The 20,858-nt window shown below is 53.2% G+C and overlaps 1 protein-coding gene across 2 annotated transcripts in view, besides 1 other annotated feature; it reads left to right on the top strand.

Annotated features, from left to right (window-relative positions):
* Positions 1-14,981, top strand: part of NUDCD3 (NudC domain containing 3) — a 111,540-nt gene extending 96,559 nt beyond the window's left edge. The window contains exons 5-6 of one of the 2 annotated variants that reach the window (NM_015332.4): positions 1,615-1,803; positions 7,979-14,981. In NM_015332.4, the coding sequence (NP_056147.2) occupies positions 1,615-1,803; positions 7,979-8,089 (300 nt within the window). In that variant the 3' untranslated portion in view covers positions 8,090-14,981. The remainder of the gene's footprint in view (positions 1-1,614; positions 1,804-7,978) is intronic. The other variant, XM_011515247.3, reaches the window with a different exon arrangement.
* Positions 15,932-16,121: an enhancer, noted in NCBI's record as "active region_25940". NCBI's record gives its function as "activates an Ori minimal core promoter by ATAC-STARR-seq in GM12878 lymphoblastoid cells {active_cell/tissue: GM12878}" and the evidence as "EXISTENCE:reporter gene assay evidence [ECO:0000049][PMID:35858748]".

Genomic DNA, 20,858 nt, shown 5'->3' with positions numbered 1-20,858 from the left:
CACATCGGTGCCCACCCTCTTCATTAGTAGAACACATTCTCGGACTTGATCCCTGGGCTCTGCAGAGTCTGGTGCTGAGTACCTTCTTTGGTGTGGGTAGGTTTTGGCAGCAGGAGCTTGGAGGTGGGAAGGTGGAAGGTGCAGTGTTAGGACACTGCTCTCTCAAGCCCGTGTATACTGGTGAGTCTCCAGTGCTCCCTCTTGGGGGGACGTGGTGTCCTGTGGACTCACTGTGACCTCTTGAGTGTCACAGTTACCCTGAGTGTGGCTTGGTAGGTTTTGCCCACCTGGTCAGTAAGTGTCCTGGTGGCTGCCACCTCCATGGATGAGAGCTGCTCTCACTTGCGGGCCCTTTGCTACCTTTTCTCCCTTTCTGTGAGCACCTAGTGGTTTAATCCCATCAGAGAGTCCCATCACACTTGGGCATGTGAATGTACCTCTTTCAATTGTAAATATTATGAAATCTAAACACAGATCAAGTATTTCTGTTGAAAAAGTGCAGTGCTCATCTAGGGCAAAGTAGACAAACCCACTCTGTTGCTTCTTGGCCACTCTGGTAAGAATTTTGAGCCCAGCCACTGACCACAGCAGATGCAGCCAGTTTTCTTGTTTTCTGTGTCTGTATGACCACTGATAACAGGGCATGGTGTGGCCAGGGCCCTCCTCTGTGTCCCTGGGACAGGCCAAGCAGCCAGGGTCACCTAGGTACATACAGCACCCCTCACGTTTGCTCTCATACTGCAGTTCCAGTTGTCTTTTAAGTTTTTATGGTAATGACATGAGTCTCACAGACCCCAACACTGAGGGCTGGATCTTAAATGCTGGGTGCTGCTTCCTTTGACCAAGGGATGTCTGTGCCATCCCCACAGAGGTGCCCAAGGAGGCCTCTTTTGGGGTTGTTTCTTGATGGTCGTTTCTCCTTCCCAAGCCATCAGAGAACTTTAGGGAATGGGGCTGGAGGACCCCCTCATGCAGCAAGCTTGGCCCCAGTGAGGAAGAAGTGGGGACAGGGCATGGTGCCCTGTCATGGGGTGAGGACTCCCCAGGAGATTCTGTCATGCATTAGGCTGAGCCCTAAGTCTCATAGGTCCCAGCTTACCCCTAAGATAGCAGAATGTTGGATGTTGCTCTTGGAAGCAAGAGAGATCACTGGAGAGGTAGTTGGTTGATAAGAGCTAAGCAGAGCCTTCCATGGCAAGCATGGGGGCAGGCTGGGTTGGCCCAGGACAGGTCCTGGTGTGGGGGGGTGTCATGGGTCTTGGAAAATAGCCTTTCTTCATGAGAGTGGGCAAGGTGTGCACATGGAACAGGCACTGTCCTGAGTATCCAGGACCTGCTGAAGAAGGATAAAGGCATCTTCCAGAATGTCAGTCCCCTCAGGTATGTGCCTCCTAGCTCTTCCCTGGGATATGTTAGCACAGGCAGCAAATGCATTCCCAGGCACAGAGGGTCCTGCCTTGGGTTCTGGCACCCCCTCTTGTCTGTCACCTCCCTTTGTGTAGTTGGTCCTGAGCTTATCCTGGACACCCATCCCTCAGTGGGCTCTGCTCTGTCCCCAGCCCTGGACACCTGTCTCAGGTCTCTGACTCAGGTCTCTGTCCTGCTTGTCCCCAGGTGAACCTGAGCAAGGTGGGCGAGTATTGGTGGAACGCCATCCTGGAGGGAGAAGAGCCCATCGACATTGACAAGATCAACAAGGAGCGCTCCATGGCCACCGTGGATGAGGAGGAACAGGCGGTGTTGGACAGGCTTACCTTTGACTACCACCAGAAGCTGCAGGGCAAGCCACAGAGCCATGAGCTGGTACGAGCATGGCAGTCCTGGAGAGTCCACCCTTTAGGCCCTTGTGCTGGTGACAAGGCCGATAGTGGCAGAGGGGTTGGTGATGACGGTGGGGAAGAAGGTTGTGTGGACCAGCTTCCTGCCATGTCCTAGCCTAGCAAGGAACCTGTCTTACCTGCTCTTGTCCCCAATCACTGCCTCACAGGTGCACTCTGGTCTTTCAGCTGTGTTCTCATACCTGGGCTGAGAGCCCAGTTAACAGGACCTCGAAGGGTGTCATGAGATCTGCCCTTCCTGCACCAGAGCCTGGTAACATCAAGTGTGTTGATGGCTTTTGTTTGTGCCTCATCTGCACATATCTTCCCATGAAGAGTCGCTTGGTGGGACCTTTGGTAGAGGAGGGGAGGGAGCCAGATTGCAGAGCCAGTTTCTGGATGTTGGAGGCCAGCATGTGAAGACTCTGTGATGTCAGCAGTGGGTTAGGGAGGAGGAAGAGAAAGGTTCCTGTCTGACCAGTGTAGTGCCCAGTGTAGAGTTTGCTCATGGCCAAAGAGAATGATTAATTAGATGTATACATTCTTTCTTCCTATTTTAATAACTCCAAGAGTAGCTATTTAGGGAAAAAAGGGTTGCTTTCCTCAGATTATTTTTAACTTCCCGTGTCCCATATACCCAGCACGTGGGTTTGGGCCGCAGTACAGCAGGGCACGCGGACGCAGTGCAGCCTTGAGTCAGTGGGGAGGGGTCATCTGCTGGGCACAGTCTCCTTATTTTTGTTCTGTAAACACGGACCGCCTCCTCCCCCTGAAGATCGCTGATCGATATTTTCTTCTCATTTTGTCTCTTGGAGGAACCTTACCTTGTGGTGTATCTGGATTGTCTTAGTCTTACCTTCCGGTACAGCACGTATTAATACATCGTAGGTGGTTCTGCAAGCCCTGTTGCTGTGTCTCGTCCGTTCTTGCCTATTTTCACAGACAGGTGCATCCTGCTCTTATGAGGTGAAGGAGCCTGCGGAGAGGAGTGTCAACATGTTCTCCTCACCTGGCCCTGCCACACCAGGGGCATGTCCTGAGCACTTAGTACACACAGTTAAGGTGGGGTTGACTGGCTGCACAGTACCCCTGAAAATACAGTTTGTTTGTTTTTTGTTTTTGTTTTTGTTTTTTTCCCCCCACAATAGAGAGATTGAATTTCTGAGGTTGTGACTCAGTAGCTTAGGCAGCAGGGATGGGGTTTGACCTCTGATTTGATTTCACACCTGTCTGTCCTCACAGCCCTGTCCACCCTGGCCCTTGTCTCTATGGAAGAGAATGTTCCTCTAGGTTTGGCCCCCTTTTCCACCCGGGGCATGGCAAGCTTAAAGGACATCTTTGCTTGGCCTACGTCCATGCAGAGTTTGAAGCCTCAGGTAGTATTGCAGCACCTGCTCAGCTGAGCTCAGCTCAGGTGCTTAGACAGCCAGACCTGCCTGGTTATGGCTCATTCCAGTTATGCTGCATTTGCCTGTGGCCACTAGATGAAAGGCCAGCCTTTGAACCTTTGCCCTGTGGGTAGGGCTTCTCATGGTAGTGTTTGGGGATGGTGTATGTGAGGGTCTGCCCACTCTGTGCCCATATTCAGCATTGGGTCCACAAAAGGACTGAGATGTATTCATGAGTTGACCTTCGGGAGAAAGAGTCTGTTTTGACTGGAGAACATGAACCCAGATGCCTTTTGTTCCAGAAAGATAAGAAGGCAGTCTTACCATGTACCCCTTAGAAGTGTCTTTTTGTGCCACAGGATGGAGGGACTAAGGTCAGGTGGTTTCTCACATCTTCCCCAGACACTGACACTGAGCCTTTGTTACAGAGAGATGATAAAAATTATTGTAGTTTGAATGGTATTTGTGCGTTTGTCAAAGCCTTGATGAAGTTTTTGTAGACTTTATTTTATTTTATTTTTTAAATTTTTTGAGACAGAGCCTCGCTCTGTCACCCAGGCTGGAATGCAGTGGTGTGATCTCAGCTCACTGATACCTCCGCCTCCCAGGTTCAAGCGGTTCTCCTGCCTCAGCCTCCTGAGTAGCTGGGACTACAGGCGCACACCACCACGCCCAGCTAATTTTGTATTTTTAGTAGAGACGGGATTTCACCATGTTGGCCAGGCTGGTCTCGAACTCCTGACCTCAGATGATCCACCTGCTTTAGCCTCCCAAAGTGCTGGTATTACAGACGTGAGCCACCACGCCTGGCCAGTTTTCTGTAGACTTTAGCTGTTGAGGCATGAGAGAAGCTAGGATGCTCTGGCTGTTTTTATCTGTGAGCCCTCATGTTTCCTGTGATTGTATCTCTTACAGAACTTTATATTCAAAAACAAAATAGCAGGAATACCTGCTCATCATTGGAGTTGCCAGTAGTGCCAAAGACACGCATGGAGGTGTCAGGGGCTCCACCAGCCTTTTCTTCTCTACATCCTTGCCCCTCCCCTTCCCTCCTTTCTTTCTGTTTCCCTTTTCTTTCCCTTACATCCTCCCCTCTCCTTGACCTTCCTCTCAGTCTCTTTCCCCCATCCTTTATGTTCTGTGCCAACACCTTGTAACATTGCATAGTCTCACCCCTCTATTGGGGCACGTCGGTGAGGAAGACAGACACAGATCTGCCTTTGTGGTGCTAGGATTCCAGCCATTTTAATCTTACCTTCTCCAAAGAGTATTTCAGTCCTGCTTTGCAGTTTCATTGATAATCCTCCCCAGGAAGCAGCTGCTCTTGTCTCTCCATTTCTGGAGGCCTAAGGCCTCCTTATTTTGTATTTTTGTATTTTTAGTAGAGACGGGGTTTCACCGTGTTAGCCAGGATGGTCTCGATCTCCTGACCTCGTGATCCGCCCGCCTCGGCCTCCCAAAGTGCTGGGATTACAGGCGTGAGCCACCGCGCCCGGCCGGCCTCCTTATTTTGATGGCTTGTTGCCAAGCCCACTGCCCAGGACCAGGAATGGGGAGGTCTGTTCATTCCAGGTAAGCCGAGGCAACTTCCAGGCAGTTCTGGACCTCAAACCCCTACCTGGATCCTCACTGTCAGTTCGGGACAGGCCAACCTCAAGGGGTGAAAGATGGCAGCACTACACATTGTATGTATGCACCATGCACATACATGCTTGCACACATGCAGCATCATAGGGTGCAACTGGCATCCCCCTTCATGCCCTGCTGCCCTGCTCTGAGGGCAATTCAGTGGGGTCATCCTGTTGGTGTCCTCTTGGCAAGCTGTTTTTTTGGCCCCTAGGGCACTGCATAGCCCAGGCGTGGAACAGAAAGTCCCTGTGCCTGCAAACAGCTTCTTGTGACCTAGCATGGGGGAGCCCGTAGACTGGGCAGCGACCCAGTTAGGAAGGATTCAAAGAACCTTGAAGATGCTGTGGTCCAGTGGAAAGAGCTCTGTGTGTTGAATCTAAATCTATTCTGCTGTAGACTTGCCATGGGGCAGCATCCTGACCCTTGAGAGGATGTGTGTCCCTCCCCAGAGTAAAGTGCCCTGGGAGATCTTCAGCGACATGCAGGAGCCCAGGGCTGGTGGCGCGGGGGTAGGTCCCAGAGTGACCCTCTCCCTGAGATTGACCTGCTCCTCAACAGCCAGGGAGCCTCCAGCTCTCAGGTGACAGCTATAGACAGTAATGAACTGACCTCTCAGGGCTATGGTCGTTCACTGTGTGTGTCCAGGCACCTGCCTGGTGCTGATGCTAAAGTCTCAACTCCTTCCTGGGCATGACAGTGTCTGGGGCAGGGTCTGCAGCATATGGAGGCTTGCAACACGCAGAGGTTTCATGTAAAATGTCCTTAGTGACTGTAGCCTTTTTTTAGAAAATCAAATGAGGAAACACCTAGAAGGTAGGTGTGTGCCCTCATGTGGCCTCATGTAGCAGGTTAGCCACATTTTATTCAGGCGTCCTGAGGGATACCTCACAGGCAGAGAGACTATCGTGAGAGTTAGGGGGCCGGAGTTGCTTCACTGGGATCACCAGGCTTCGCTAAGGAGAGAGAGTGGAAAATGGGCCAGGTTCTCCTGTCAGCCTCCATCTGCCGTTCACGTCGGCATAGTCACAGTTACCAGCGTGCTCTGGCATTGATGCCCATTTATGGTGTGAACTCAGAGTTTTCTAAATTTGCCAAGATTTCAAATTGTGCTTCTAATGCCACAGATGCTGTGTATTTTGAAGCAGTTTTATTTTGAAATGACAATACTTTTATTGTTTTAAATTCTTTGGTGTCACTAACCTTTTTCCAAAGTCAACAAATTTAAAACCCTTCATCTTTTCCCTAATTTAATTTTTTATGAGCAGGATTCCCCCATCTAGAAAGAGAATGTGGAATGTACAGGTGCCATTGCTCTGTCTGCGCTCAGATGTGTCTGTGTCTAGGATCTCTTCAGCCTGGTAGGATTCACCCTAACAGTAATTGTGACATCTCATAGGCAGATAGCATTAGCATGGTCTCTGGTCATAAGAGTGAATTTGGTGACACACAGGAATGCCTGCTCTCCACTTTTGCCTCAGGAAAGGTCTGAGTGCTGATCTTGGCACCCTAGGATCCCTCTGTTGTAAGATCAAGTCTACTAATCTGCCCTTTGCACTCTGGGCATCCTACATCGGGCCCCCATGCAGCAACCCGGGTTCCCAGGGTAAGACTGTGGTGGCTGCAGGGCTCCACAGGTGTCATTTGCCCTACAGCTGGCTGGGGTTCTGTTGAAAGGTTCAGAGGCTTCATGCAGCTGCCTGCTGAAGTCATCCATTCTTGTGTTTTGTTGAGGCTGTGCAGAGGGGCTTCATGTAGTCTTCTCTGCACCCACAGCCACTCCATGTGAGCTGCAGCACTTGTTCTCAAAATGGTCTTTCCAAAGTCTCTGATGTGAGTTGCCTGTAAGAAATTGATAGTAATGTCAATTAATCCCTAGTATATAGTATCTGTCTTTGATATGCTTGTTGTTGCATCACTTAGGTCTTAAAAAAAGAAAATGAAGCTGGGTATGGTGGACTGCACCCATAGTTTTAAGTACTCAGGAGGCTGAGGTGGGAGGATCGCTTGAGCCCAGGAGTTTGAAGCTGCACTGAGCTATGACCACACACTGCACTGTAGCCTTGGAAACAGAGTGAGACCCTATCTGTAAAAAATAAAAACAGGAAAAAGAAAACCCTCTTGTTAGGAAGATTATGTTTTATTTAAGGAGAAGCCCTGGTGCTGAGAATCCCACAGCCTCGTTTTCTGGGCCTATGCTACAGGGTTTTGTGCAACAGGGACTGTGGATCATATTGGTAGAATAACTACTGGCCCTACATAGTCTCTTTTGTCTCTTGTGGTCAGAAGGTTAGAAGGAAGGAGAGATCATCCCTAGCCCTCAGTGTACTCATGGTGGCCAGGTGAGGAGGGCAGATATAGAGTCCCTTTGAGGAGAAGAGGGCCTGCCAGCCCAGGTACAGATGCTTCCCTCAGGGTCCAATCTCCCTGATGTCCCCTGCCATGGCCACACACTGAGCCTTGCTTCTGATCCTTGGAGGCTAGATAGTTCCAGAATGGCCACACGTTGGCGAGGGCTTAGTCAACCAGCTCTGACTGCATCTGCAAGGATGCAGTGGGGAATTCCTGACTGACGGGTCTACCACTGGACATTCTGAGGTTTCTTCCTCCGTGCCACATCCTGGGTCAACCCTGGATTGTCTGATGATATAGTTCTTGATGCTGATAACTGGGGTGCTAGGGTATCTCCTCTGCACACCTTAGTCATGACTCAGGTGGGGCTTGAGCACTTTCTCTACGCACCTTCTCTACAACCCTGGTGGGCTGGGACACTCCCTCTTAATGCCTTAGTCAGTGCCTGGTGGGACCATAGATGTTGCAGGGTGTTTGGAATTTGGACAGAGATCCTGGTGGAAAAGGGACAAGATGAACCATAAAGAGGAGCCAGTGCTTGCTGGGGACAGAAGATGGAGGGTTAGAAATTCAGTCTGTGGAGCAGTCTTGGAGAGAAATTGGCAGGCACCCAGTACCTCCCTTGGTCGAAGGCTGCTCCAGGGTAGTACAGTTCTCTGGCCAGCCGGTCTTGCCAGGCAAGTGCCTGAGCCCTGAGGAAGCAAGAAGGCTCTCTACCTGCAGTCAGAGTCTGCTCTGGGAGAAAGTACACAGTGCGTTGTGATCCCCTTTAATCTCTCTATTTTCTGTTTGTAGAAAGTCCATGAGATGCTGAAGAAGGGGTGGGATGCTGAAGGTTCTCCCTTCCGAGGCCAGCGATTCGACCCTGCCATGTTCAACATCTCCCCGGGGGCTGTGCAGTTTTAATGACCAGAAGGAAAGGAAACCCTCGCCGGTGGGGAGGCAGAGCCTTATCCTCGGCTGCCCTTCTTGGCTCCCTGCATTCCAGGGACTTGCTCGTCTTGTTTACCCCTAGCCATCCTTTCTTTCAAGGGTGAACCAGGCCTTCCACCCTGACCTTGCATCTCCAGACTGTTCCAGAGAAGGTGCGGGGCCAGCTGCTATGTGGTGGCCGCTGTGGCTGACACTGAGTGAAGGTGTTTGAAATGCAGGAGAGGATATCCCAGCAAATTGGGATCACATGCTTTTGTCTCCACAGCAACCAGCCACTGCAGGCAGCATGTCTTTCCTCCCCTGCTCTCTGCTTGCTGTTGTTTTGACGCTATTCTGCTTGCATGTCTTCTGGTTGGGATGTGGAGTTGTTGCTGGACTCTCAGGCGAAGCTGAAGTCATTGAAGTGTGTGAAGCTCTGTGCTTGCATGAGGGCAAGCAAGGAATGGCTGTGCCTGAGGCTGCTCTGGGAAACTCCTTGCCCCTTGACCTCTTTTGAGAGCATTCACGTGGTCTTCTTGCTCATCCCCTTATAAATGTGCTTTGCCTGCCTCAGCCTCATGGTCAGAGCAGTGGAGACTGGAGCCCTGTTTGCACGTTCTAGTTGTTCGGAGAAAGCCTAGGTTCTGGGCTCAGGTCCAGATGCAGCGGGGATTCTGTTCTCTGACTGTGGCGACCTTGCTTTGGTTCTTGTTGAAGTGAACCAAGCCCGGCCACCACGCATGGCATGCTGTGCTTGGCTCCCCATAAGACGTCCTCTTTGGGTGCACGGTGTCAAAGTGTGGGCAGGAGTGGAGAGCTGGTGCCCTCAGGAGGAGACCACAGCATGTCCATCAGCTCAGCAGAGCTCGACAGCCACAAGTCCTGAGAAGCTTTGACCTTGAAGGGCTTCTGGGAGAGGAGGAATTTCTGCATGGGGCGTGAAGGCACACTGTCCCACCACAACTGAACCAGAAGAGAGTGAAGACTCCCCTCTTCCCATCCTCTGTGCCAGGTGCCAGACTGTGCTCCTTGGAACTTATGGCCCAATCTTACCTGTTCTCCAGGGACTGGTCACTGCCTCAGGACCCCCAAGCCTATGCCCTGAGCCATGGCTGCTGACTGACTCCAGCCAAGGTGCAAAGACGAGATTATGAGACAGGTCCTCAGGCCTGTGTTCCAAGTACTCACAGGGGCTCTGGGTGCCCATCGCCGGGAGTATGGTTCAGCTGCCACCGGCACTGTCCATTTGCCTGTCTGTCAAGCTCAGAGCATGGATAAGCCACACAGCAGGGCAGTGCACCCTGGCACCATGCACGGCCAGCAAGAATCAAGGCCCGCAGATGCTAAGAGGGCCTATTGTCAGGGGAAGGTCCCCGCTCCTGCACACTCTCTATGGATACTTGGGTTGTGGGGGCTCTCTTGGAGAGTAAGTTTGTGGTTTGTTTCTGGTTTACAGTGGTGGCTGACACCCCTTGTAAGAAAGCATTCCTGGGAAGTCTTCTGTGGGTCCAAACATGTTGCTCCGATCATCACAGGAGAGCAAAAGGCCCTAGATACCCCCTTTGGAATGTGAGAGTCTTGTTGTCTGATATTTGCCACTGAGCTGGTGAAGCCCCTCTAAAGAGATCTCGACCCTGGGGAGCAGAATTCTTGTCATCTATGAGGGGTCCTGAGAAAGACTTGTCATTTTTTTTCCTGGAGTTCTTCCCATTGAGGTCCTAGGATTTGCACACCACTGTCCCACAAGAGCTTTCCTGCCTAATGAAAGGAGGTCTTGTGGTGTGTGTCTCCTCTCTTCTCTATAGTTCCCGAGTTGGCCCCCATTGCAGCCCCCACCCTGTGGGTAGTCTTCCAGAAGTGATGCAGTGGTGTGAGATGCCCTACACCTTGTTATTTGGGAGACTTTGAGAGTCATTCACTTCCATGGTGACTAGTGTTTGTTTTGCCTGATTTTATATTCTGTGTTGCATTTCTCCCCACTCCCTGCCCTGCTTTAATAAACAGCAAACCAATATCTAGGAAGAATGACTGAGGGATAGTATTGGGTATTGGCCCCATGGCAGGAACAGCCACTTGCATCTGGTCCCGGTGCCACACTGCGGTGCTTGGTGTGGTTGTGGAGCCTGTCCCTGCGCGCCTTGCTCCCGTTGAGCCACGCTGTCTGGTGGGTGATTCTCTGCCCTGAGCCACCACCCTGGACTGGCCCAGTCTCCAGAGCTGGCACACCCTGCCTGTTTTCTCTTTTTAGACACAACAGCCGCAGTTTGGCCAGCCACTAAGTCCCACCAGCTGAGGTCCGAGGAAAGCGGGGTGACTCATTTCCCTTGTCCAGGGCCCGAGGAGAGTGAGGTGTCCAGCCTGCAAAGCTATTCCAGCTCCTTGGTGTTGGTTTGCAATAAATTGGTATTTAAGCAGTTCTGGGTCTGCGTGTGACATTTGCTGCTGAGACAGTTCTGTCTGTGCATGGTCATTATTGTTGCATTCTAGCCTTGAGGTCCCAGGCCAACGTACACAGCAAACACCAGCATGGGGAATTCTTAGGGGTTGTTTCCCATCTGGTCTGAATGCACTGGGCAAGATCTCAATACAGCTTTAGAAATCCTGTAAGATTTTGACCAGTGGGGAGAAAAAGAATGTAGCTATAGATCTTACATCCTTTCAAACAGGTTCTGGAATTCTGTAGTTACTGGAAAGCTTAGGGTGAGTGCAGAGTTGGGAATGATTCCACTGAAGGGCCACCTTTGCCCACCAGGCTCCAAGGCCCTCCTTGGTCTCCAGGTGCATACCTGCTGTTAACTTTGCTGAGCCCTCGCAATGGGCTTCCTCCAGGACATAACGCCGTGTCTGACACAGAAGTCTCCCAGGTGGCTGGCCACCTGCTTCTTCCTCAGTCAGATCTTTGACTCTCCTTCTCTGTGCCCACCCCATCTCCAGCCTCCTCTGACCCTGCTCACCCCTGGGGACAGGACCTAGGGGTGTGAGAAGTACTTGGCTGAATAAAGACTGTTTCAAAGGCAATCCTTAGAATTGCCTAGCATACTCCCAGGGCCAGAAATAACCCGCCAGAAAGGAGAGGCGTATTTGCCCCTGAAGAGTGCAGGAGGGAGAACAGTTGAGAAGTGTTTTGTGTGGAAATGTGTCCAAGAGGCGTCAGCTGCTGCACAGAGAACTCACTGCCCAGAACACTGCGCTTGGGGAACAGACCTCACCCCCACCTCAAATCTGCTCTCCACTGGGCCTGTTGGCAGCCAGCTCAGCTGGGGAAGGGACAGCATGACTCGCTTTGTCGATGAAAAGCACGAAGTTGTCAGCACAGAACCTGGCCAGTCCTTGAGAAACTCCCTCCTTGGTGGTCAGAGGTCAAGCAGCCCATGTGGCCCACGGTCCTGAAGAACTGGGCTATGTCCCTGAGGCTCCTCTCTACCGTCTGACTGTGGGGTCTGGGGAACAGGCATTTAAACCAGGCTGCTGCCCTGGGGAGTGCCCACTGGACGCCAGGGTGCCCCATAGGGACAGGGTCACAAAGCCCTGGGGCTTCCCCTGCCAGTCCTGGTGAGGACAGTGTGGTCACTATCTCAGAGAGACGAAAAATGAATATTCTGTCATTTCAGACTAAACTACTCACCCAGCTCACACTAATATGGATTTGTTAATTTTACCTTTTTTTTTCTTTCCAACTTTAGGTTCAAGGGTTGTTACATGGGTAAATTGGATCATAGGGGTTTGGTGTACAGATAATTTTGTCACCCAGGTAATCAGCATGATACCTGATATGTAGTTTTTCAGTCCTCACCTTCCTCCCACTCGGTTTTATTTTTTAGTACTGAAAGTTTAACAGATTGGTCTTACCTCAGAGGGAGGGAAGAAACCCCCCCATCGCTGGGCTCCTTGGTGTGACAGGGGTCTGGTAGGGGTTTTCAATCCCACCACCCATTCCTCCACACCAAATGCCTGAAGTCCCCACTTTGCACAGGGAGACAGCATCGTGCCAGGGAAGAGAGGTCAGGCCCGGCTACCCCTCACAACTTCCTGCTTCCCCCTCAGAGGGTGATGGGGAGACCAGAGCCCATGGCAGGATGAACTGTCACTGAACCCAGCTGGCACAGGTCTGCCAGAACACTCTGGGGGTATGCGCTGGGCTTTCTGGGTAAACCCCTGGCAAGCTGGCGTTTGCTGTCTTCTCAGTGCTGATGGAGATAGGCACACATGGGGTGTGGGAATGTGGCCACCCTCAGGCAGGTTCACGAGGGTACTGTCAGGCGCTCAGGTGTATGCCGCCTCCTGTCAGGCAGGGCTGAGGCTATTCTCCCTGGAGAAGGACAGCTTAGGAAACACTTGCAGGAAAGCTGCCTGGACCTGGGAGGTGACCCTGGCCAGCCTCCCTGCTGCCTCTCTCAGTCCTAGGCCTTCTTCCCCAGAGCTGGTCAGGGCCTGAGGGACTTTGTAGTCTAACCCCTCATTGTGCTACAATCACAGGAGTAAGTAACACTCCCAAGGCCATGTGGCTGGTGACTCGGGGGGCCCAGGTCCAGGATCCTGCCCCATCTGCAGGCCAGTGGTTCCTTGTCTCCTATTTGCTTCTTGGAGCAGCCTCCTCATAAGCCAACAGCTCCTTCACCTGAGCCCAGTCACTTTGCGCTCCTCCCCAGAACCAAAGAGCAAGACCATCTGCCCCAGGTACAGTCCTGGCCATGCCACACTCTCTGTGGCATCATGACCAAGGTGAGTGGCAGATACTGAAATCATCCAGGGCCACTGCAGGCCCCATTCCCAGTGGACTGTTCATCAAGGGACCCTGTCTCAGGCCATCTCAGCCAACCTTGTTGCCCAGCACAGGTCTGGCACATTGGAGATGATCTGTGTTGGATGGGGAAGGCAGAGGGAGGATCCTCCAGCATTGATCACCCATCAAAACCCTCAACAACCCAGACATTGCCGCTGCACTGACCCCATGCTATGAGGAGGTCACTCAGGCTGTTAGGAGCCTGCTGACTCAGGCATTGGGCTGGGGCCCTGCCTGCCTTGTCTGCCTGCCAGCGGAGCACTGCCCCAAGCCCTTCTTACTGCAGAGACAGGCTCTTGCCTCCCAGTGTGCACTTTGTGCAAGACACAGGCAGGTAAGGGTCTACCAGAGGACAGGAAGTGTTGTTGGGGCACTGTGGGGTTTGGAGGAGGCCCCTCTAGCAGGGAAAGCGAGCCCTAACCTCTGCTGGACTAGGGAGTTTAGGAAGCTGCTCTGGTTCAGGGAACTGGGGATCCAGATAACTGGGGATCAAGGCCATCTTGTGACCCCAGTGGTGGTCCCTAGTGGGACTGCTGAGCTCCAGCCTGAGAGTTCATGAACTCAACAGTGATTGCTTGTGGGTACTAATGACCCAGTGTGTGGAGACCTCATTTACCAGGTGTGCCTAGCCTGCAGGCAAATCCCAAGGCAGTGACCCTTAGGGAAGAGACAGCGTTTGGGGTCATCAAAGGCTGGGAAACCCAGGTACCTGTCAGGGAATGGGCTACAGACTGGAGCTAAGCCTTAAGGTGGGGAAGATTCCAGCACCCCTGAGTGACCACCTCTTTTGGTAATGCAAAGAAGGGATTTTGTGACTCCAGGGTGACATTTCTAAGCTTGGCATCATGCAGGGTGGGCTTGGGCTCAATATGGGTGACTGTTAGTCTAGGGCTGTCTCAATGAGGCTGTCCAGGCAGAAAGGCTTACACACCTGGCAGGCAGAGGGTCTAGAGAGGAAGGGGCAACAGGCCTAAGGAGGGGACAGCCAGGCAAGGAGGTAGAATAGGCCTTGTCTGGACAGTGGTCACCTGTTAGGTCCACAGCTTGTCCTCCCTGGCCTGACCAGCCAGGTGAGGAGAGATCCAAACCATCCACCTGAAAGCATTCAGGGTGCCTGATGACAAGACCCCAGCCACTGTGGGCTCTCATGTCCTGGTAGGAAGGTATACCTAAAGCAGGTGGACCTGGTAGTGGTGGACGCTGTCTGCCTCCCCGGGGCTTGTCTGTTTATGCCAGACCGTTTTCCCATTTGCTTCCACCTCCAGCTCAGAGAGGAATCACCTTCACACCTCTGCTAAAACTAACCCAGCTCTGCACCCACCATTCCCCACTGTGCAACACCTGCTACTGGAGAACCCTGCCCCCTCAAATACACGTCATCCTCAGGGCCCTGCGATGTGCTGTGGTCTCCCTGCCACCATTCAAGGGGCCACAGCCAGGTCCAGCCTGTCTTCCCTGGCACCAGGCTCTATGCAGTGGGGGAAACTCGGGCACCCCTAAACTATTCTCCAGTGTTCTCACCAGAGGTGGTCAGCCATGTGATGGCAAGAGTCACTTCTTAAGCTTTTGCTATCCCCAGAAACTTAAAGCAACACCAACCACACCCAAAAGTCAAGTGATATCCAGACAGCAACAGTAGAGCATTAACTGAGTGCAGGGCCGTGGTGACTCCTCGACACTCCAGGCTCTCCTGCTGGTAACCTCCCATTGGCAGAGCCAGGCACTCAGCAAAGCCCTGGACAGTCAGCAGCCTCCTGAACAGGCTCTGCTGTCCCCACTCACGACTTCAGAGCAGCTAGGACTCCTGTGACCACCCCTGTCCCCTGTTCCCCCCCACCCCGCCCCGCCCCGCCAACTGCCTCATCTCTGTCCCAAGATAACTGCTCTCCAGAATTTTCCATGATATGGTCATTTTAAAAGTTTTTTTTTTTTTTGAGACAGAGTTTTTCCTGTGTTGCCCAGACTGGACTCAAACCTCTGGGCTCAAGTGATCCTCCTGCTTCAGCCTCCCAAGTAGCTGGGACTGTAAGTGTGCACCACTGTGCCTGGCTTGATGGTGTCATTTTTCACTGTACGTGTATTTGTAAACCGTATAAATCAGTATCTTTGTGAGTTGCTTTTCTTTCTCCCTTACCTTCATGAGCTGTCTGTGTCCATACACAGTCTCCTCTGCTCCCCTAGGTGGGGTGTGATATTCCATTGAGTAGATATCACAGTTTATTTAACAACATCCTGTTGGTGAGTACTTAGGTTGGCCCCAATTTCTCAATATTACAACAATGCAGCAGTCATTCTCAAGTGTGAGAGATTCCCTAGGCATTTCCTGTGAGTGGAGTTGCGGGGTCACAGGGCATCCTCTGTACCCCTCCTGCGAGTGGGTCTTGTTGCTCAGCTCCTCACCATTTTAATGGACTCTGTAATGTTTGCAGTCATGCTGAGTGTAAAGTTGGATTGCCCATGCATTTCCCTTGTCATGGTGAGGTTGAACTCCCATTTATATTTTTATTAGGCATTCAGGTTCCTTCTGTGAATTTTGTTTCTATTTTTCACCATTTATTCTACTAAGCTGTTTGTCTTTTATTGTTGACTTGTAGGAATGTTCTGAATACAACCCTTTGCAAGTTGTATTTATTCCAGAACTCCCAGCCTGGAGCCTGTCTTTGCACTTTAAACTCCCCTTCCACCCTCCTGGTCCTCCAAGGTGGGGGGCATACTTGAGGATCACTCCTTACTCTCTGCTCAGGCCACCATGAGTCCCTAGACTCAGGCTGCATTTCCCCTACATTTCCCATCTGGGTGGGACTGTAGGGCAGGCACATTTCCCAGAGGCAGGGCAGGGCTGTAGGGCAGGCATTTGGGATAGAAGCTGCCTCTACTCCCAGGATAGAGCCCAGATTCCCCAGTAAGTCTGCCTGTGCCCAAGGCCTGTTCCCTCAGGTTTAGAGACCTGCTCTCCTGGCTGTGGCTGGTGGCAGCACCCAAGCCACCTGTGTTGTAGGTGGGCCCATTCGTGACCTGTCAGACAACCAAATGAGCAGTCTATCCCACTGCCCACTTCCTCATCGCAGGGCTTTGGGGGAAGAAAGCACTAAGCAGTTGAGATGGTCTGAGTTTCTTGTCTCACATCCGGCTTGCATGGAGAACAGAAAGTGAGTGCCATGAGCAAGACTGGGCCTGCAGCCCTTGGAGAGAATCCCAGCACCATGGGCCCAGCAGGAAGGACTGATCCCACCAAAAGCATCTCTGGCCCCTCCTGGCTCTCAGCCTGGGTAGTGCCTACCCCTCACAGAAGTCTGGCCACCTGGCACTCTACCTGGGAGCTCTCTGCTGCTGACTCTGGGAGAATACCCAGGTGGAGATACAACCCAACCCTCCACATCCCACCTGCCTTCTCCCCCTTCCCAGGAACCTTCAGGACAGGGTCACCCAAGTCCAGAGCCTGGGAGCCCCTGGCTGCTTCCCCAGCTAGCATTGACATCTCCAGCCTCCACCACGTCTGGGAGGAGCCCCTGACAGTCGGGAGCATGGAAGGGATTCCCATCTGAACAACGAAACCGCTGAGCGGAGAATCCACATTTCTCAGATCCATCAGAGAATCACAGTCACACAGCACACGCTGTCCCCAAACCAGAGAGACAGGCAGGTGGACACTGAGAACCACAGCTGACTGGAGCAGAGGCTGCTGCTGGAGCCCCATGGGAAGGAACATGGAAAGGGGAATGATGTGGGGACAGAGAGAAACTCATTTTCACCCAGCTCAGTGGAATCCTCTACTGAAGTCCTGAGAAGCATGCACTCAACTGTGAGGAAGACACCAGCTGGGGGTCAGCTAGGCCCATCTCTTCTCTGAGAACTGACCCCCTCACAGGGATTGCCCTGTCCTTCGCCCCAAGGAAGCAGAACATCAGTCTTGGGATGTAAGACCAGCACCCAAAGCTGCCAGCCAGGGCTGAGTGGGCACCTAGGGAGCAGGGTGGGGACAGAGTGGATAGACCAGAGACATTGGCTGCAGTGTGAGAGGCCAGTAGAGATCCAAAGAGATCAGAGACAGGGAGGAAGAGGGACACTCAGAGAGGGACCCAGGAGGGACAAGGAGGGAGAGGGACACTCAGGGACACAGGAGGCACAAGGAGGGAGAGGGACTTAGAGATGGACACAGGAGGGACAGGGAGGGAGGGAGACACAGAGATGGACACGGGAGGGACAGGGAGGGAGGGACACAGAGGGACGTGGAAGGGACAGGGAGGGAGAGGGACACTCAGATGGACACAGGAGGGAAAGGGAGGGAGAGGGACACTCAGATGGGACAGGGAGGGAGAGGGACACTGAGGGGACAGGGAGGGAGAGGGACACTCAGATGAGGGGACAGGGAGGGAGAGGGACACTCAGAGGTGAACATGGGAGGGTCAGGGAGGGAGAGGGACACTCAGAGATGGACATGGGAGGGTCGGGGGGAGAGGGACACTCAGAGATGGACACAGGAGGGAAAGGGAGGGAGAGGGACTCAGGGTCTTAGAGATGGACACTGGAGGGACAGGGAGGGAGAGAGACTGACAGGTGCACTCGGAAAGGACATGGAGGAAGTGTACTTTGGGTGCTCAAGGCAGGCCTGCAGGGTTTCAGGGTCCTCTCTGTGTTCAAGATAAATATTCCCGTTTCTAAAGGTTAGTCATTTTTGTGTCTTGGAGAAAAAAAAAGAGCCCTAACTTAAGGCCACCGTCATGTCTGCTTTGCAGGGTTTGCTGATTCCCTGGGAATGTCACCTGCCGCTGGCACTGGAGCATGTAGCAGTGGGTTTAGTCTTCAGAGGTGGTCTCACGTTGGGGTTCCAGTGGAAGCCACCAACACCTGAGTAGATCAGAGGTGCAATTTCCCATCTTCCCCTCCCCAACAGGATCAGAACCCCTCGGGGGGGGGTTGGGGGTGGAGGCTTTGGGGGTGAGTTTGAGAAGCACTGCCCTGAACAATGCCTGAGGTGCATCCTACCCATACCCCACATGACAGCTGAGGAAACCAAGGCAGGTGGAAGGTGCCAGAACCTGAAGGTGAGCATCTCCGCAGCGCCATGTCTGACTTTTGGTTAGCGATGGGTTAGGCATTACAGAAATGTGGGCTGATGGCCCCACACATGAAAGAGGAGGCAACACCACCCACTCTCTGCGGGAAGACGCGGCCATAGGTTCACCCCAGGACACAGAGCCCTGCTGAGCGGGTAGGCAGGACAGCGTGGAGCCCATGCGATCTACACCAGGGCGGCTGGTGTGGGAGAGTCCCCGCTCCCTCAGAACAGGAGGACAAGAAGAGCTTCCTGCGGATGCACAAGCTGTTGTGATTTGGGAATTTCAGCATTAGAGACCGTGGGTTCCAGGACTAGGGTAAGGAAGGAAAAAGAGAAAAAGGACCCCCAGCCATTGGGGTTCAGTTCAAGGAGCTGTCCATCCTCCTGCCAAGAGGTGGGGTGCAGGGGTCCCTGGGGGTGTGATCAGAGACCCCCTGCCCCTGGCTTGGGAGGGCCCCCTCATGTCACTCCTCACCCCATCCCACCTCGCTCCACCTGCCATGAAGCCCTCCCAGGCCCCCACCCTTCCTTCGGGCTCAGAGCCTGGGTTCAGCTTTCCGAGAGGGACACCTGTCCAGAGGGCACCACCCAGTGGTGGGCACAGTAGTGCAGGCTCCAGACCCCAGGCCTGGTCAACAGGTCACTGTTGTTGCCAAACACAAGCCTGTGGACTTAGAGGTGGTGATGGACACTGTGTTGAACCTCTGCTAAGTGGAAGGCAGGCAGTGTGTCTGGTGGCCGGGAGGCATCGGGGCAGAAAGTGGACGGCCGCCTCTGCTTCAGCCTGGATCTACCTGCCACAGGCAGCCACTCCCGTGTTCAGGACCTTTGTGAGCAACACAGGCCACTGACACCCCACATTTCCCGTGTAGTGACAAAAGATAAAGGACTCTGCCATCATGACTCAGGGAGGACTGGGCTCTGGTGGACTCCACAGGGCCCGGGGAGCAGGCTGGGCTTAGTTTGGGTCCCTGGGAGGGTCCCCTCAGAGGGGAGAGGGCCCTGGAGACATGGATGAGAAAGGAGAGTGGGGACCCTGGGGGCTAGATCTTAAAGGCCATGGTCTGCTGTTTGGAGTTTATCCCAAATGTCTGAAGGCAGAAGAGAGAAGCAGGGCAGGAGCCAGACCCCAAGGGAGGGCACTGGGAGATAGGGATACCACAACCCTACTTGGCCCTTGAGAGTGGGGCCACCCTCAGTCCCACCACTGCAGCTCTGTGCAGACCCAGGCCACCTCTCCCCTCCCCTGACCCTAACCCCCTTCTCCCCTGCTCCTCTTCCATCTTCTTCCTTTTCTCCTTTTCATAGGCAGGTGGCTTGGCTCACCACGTGTGATCCCCAAGGATCCCCAGGCAGTATCTCGTGCTCCACACGTGAAGGCAGGTGCCAGAGGCAAGGTGGAGGCCTGGGCACAGCTGTATATGGGGTGGCAGGCCCCACAAAAGTACCCCTTGGCCACTAGATAAAGGGGCTGTGACCCCAGGAGCTAAGAAGTTCCTTACGACCTGTTCTCAAAGGGGTGCGTGTGATCCTTGCCATCCCCCGCTCATCTCGCCCAGCCCTCACTGTCACCTCCACACTGAGCAAGGTGGAGCACAGCTGGGGTCTCCCTGACTGCTTGCCCAGAGCCAAGGCTACCACAGGAAGTTTAGGGAGGGGGCCTGGTCTCCCTATGCTTCAGTTTCTTCAGCTGCAAAATGACCAACATTGAGTGGGAAGAACCCCAGCATTGAGCATCCAAAGGCACTGGCAGGCTTCCTGGGGGTCCCACCGCATGAGGGCATCAGCACCCTCGAGAGCACCACCTGTCTCTGGCCTCCAGTGAATGGCCTCCTGCCACCTGGGGCCTGCAGACCGGAGGTGAGCGACTGAACCCAGGATCACCTGCCCTCAACCCCCACCCCTCGACCACCCCCTGAGCCCACTGCTCTGCTGAATGATCACACTCTCCCTTTCCCCCACACAATGCAGCATACAGACCTGGACACACGTCAATGGCCCCTCCTTCAGGACCCCTGCTACCCATGGGCAAGACCCGGCCTGGCCCTAACCCAACCCCTGTCCTCCCCTACCCTTTCTGATCCCCTGCCCTACCCATCGTCACTGTTTACTACACTGCCCTCACCTGAGGAGGGGTGTTGGGAAACCCCCACACACTTTAAATTATTTTAAGTGTAATAAAATATACATAACATAAAATGTATCCTTTTAACAATTTCAAGTGTGCAAGCTCTGTGGCATTAAGTACATTCACATGGTTATGCAACCATCACCACCATCCAGCTCCAGAACTTTTTCATCTTCCCAAACTGAAACTCCATAGCCATTACAATTTTGAGTTGTTGCTGGCATTGAAAAAAACAAGAGATTTTATATAAAGATCTGGTTTCTGAGCTCTTTTGAAAAAGTAAAGAGTCCAGGCAGTGCTGGGTGGGATCCTTCTAGGGACAGCCTCAGCTGTAGCAGGTAGGCAGGGCTGAGCACCACAGTCCTCACCACTCCCCACTTCATACCACAGCTCCCCCGCATAGGGACATTCAGGGCAGAGGGGACCCACTGCCCTAGAGGCAGTATCCCCTGGCAGATTGGTTGTCAGCCTGGTCAGCCTGGCTGCAACACTGCACTGGGAGGAACTGGAGACCGAGCAAGGGATGCTACCAGGGTCCAGAGGGAGAATGGAGTCAGACTGCCTTGGCAGAGGGAACAGCCCAGGTAGAATTCACAAGCAGGTATGTGCATAGGGCCTTGAATGGCAAACTAAGGGGTGTGGATAGGTTTGTGGTCAGTTGAAGGTGTGGAGAGCCCTCACAGGGGAGGGCAGGTCTTGGATTTAGCACCATGGCAGAGCAAGGGGCTGGGTCAGAGGCAGAGATAGGAGATGCATTAGTAGGGAGGGCGGCCTGGGCGCTTCTCACCTTTAG

This window comes from Homo sapiens, chromosome 7 (assembly GCF_000001405.40).
Source record: "Homo sapiens chromosome 7, GRCh38.p14 Primary Assembly".
In the NCBI taxonomy this organism is placed as follows: Eukaryota; Metazoa; Chordata; class Mammalia; order Primates; family Hominidae; genus Homo; species Homo sapiens.
Note: the sequence above shows the minus strand (reverse complement) of the source record. Positions and strands in the feature narration are given on the sequence as shown.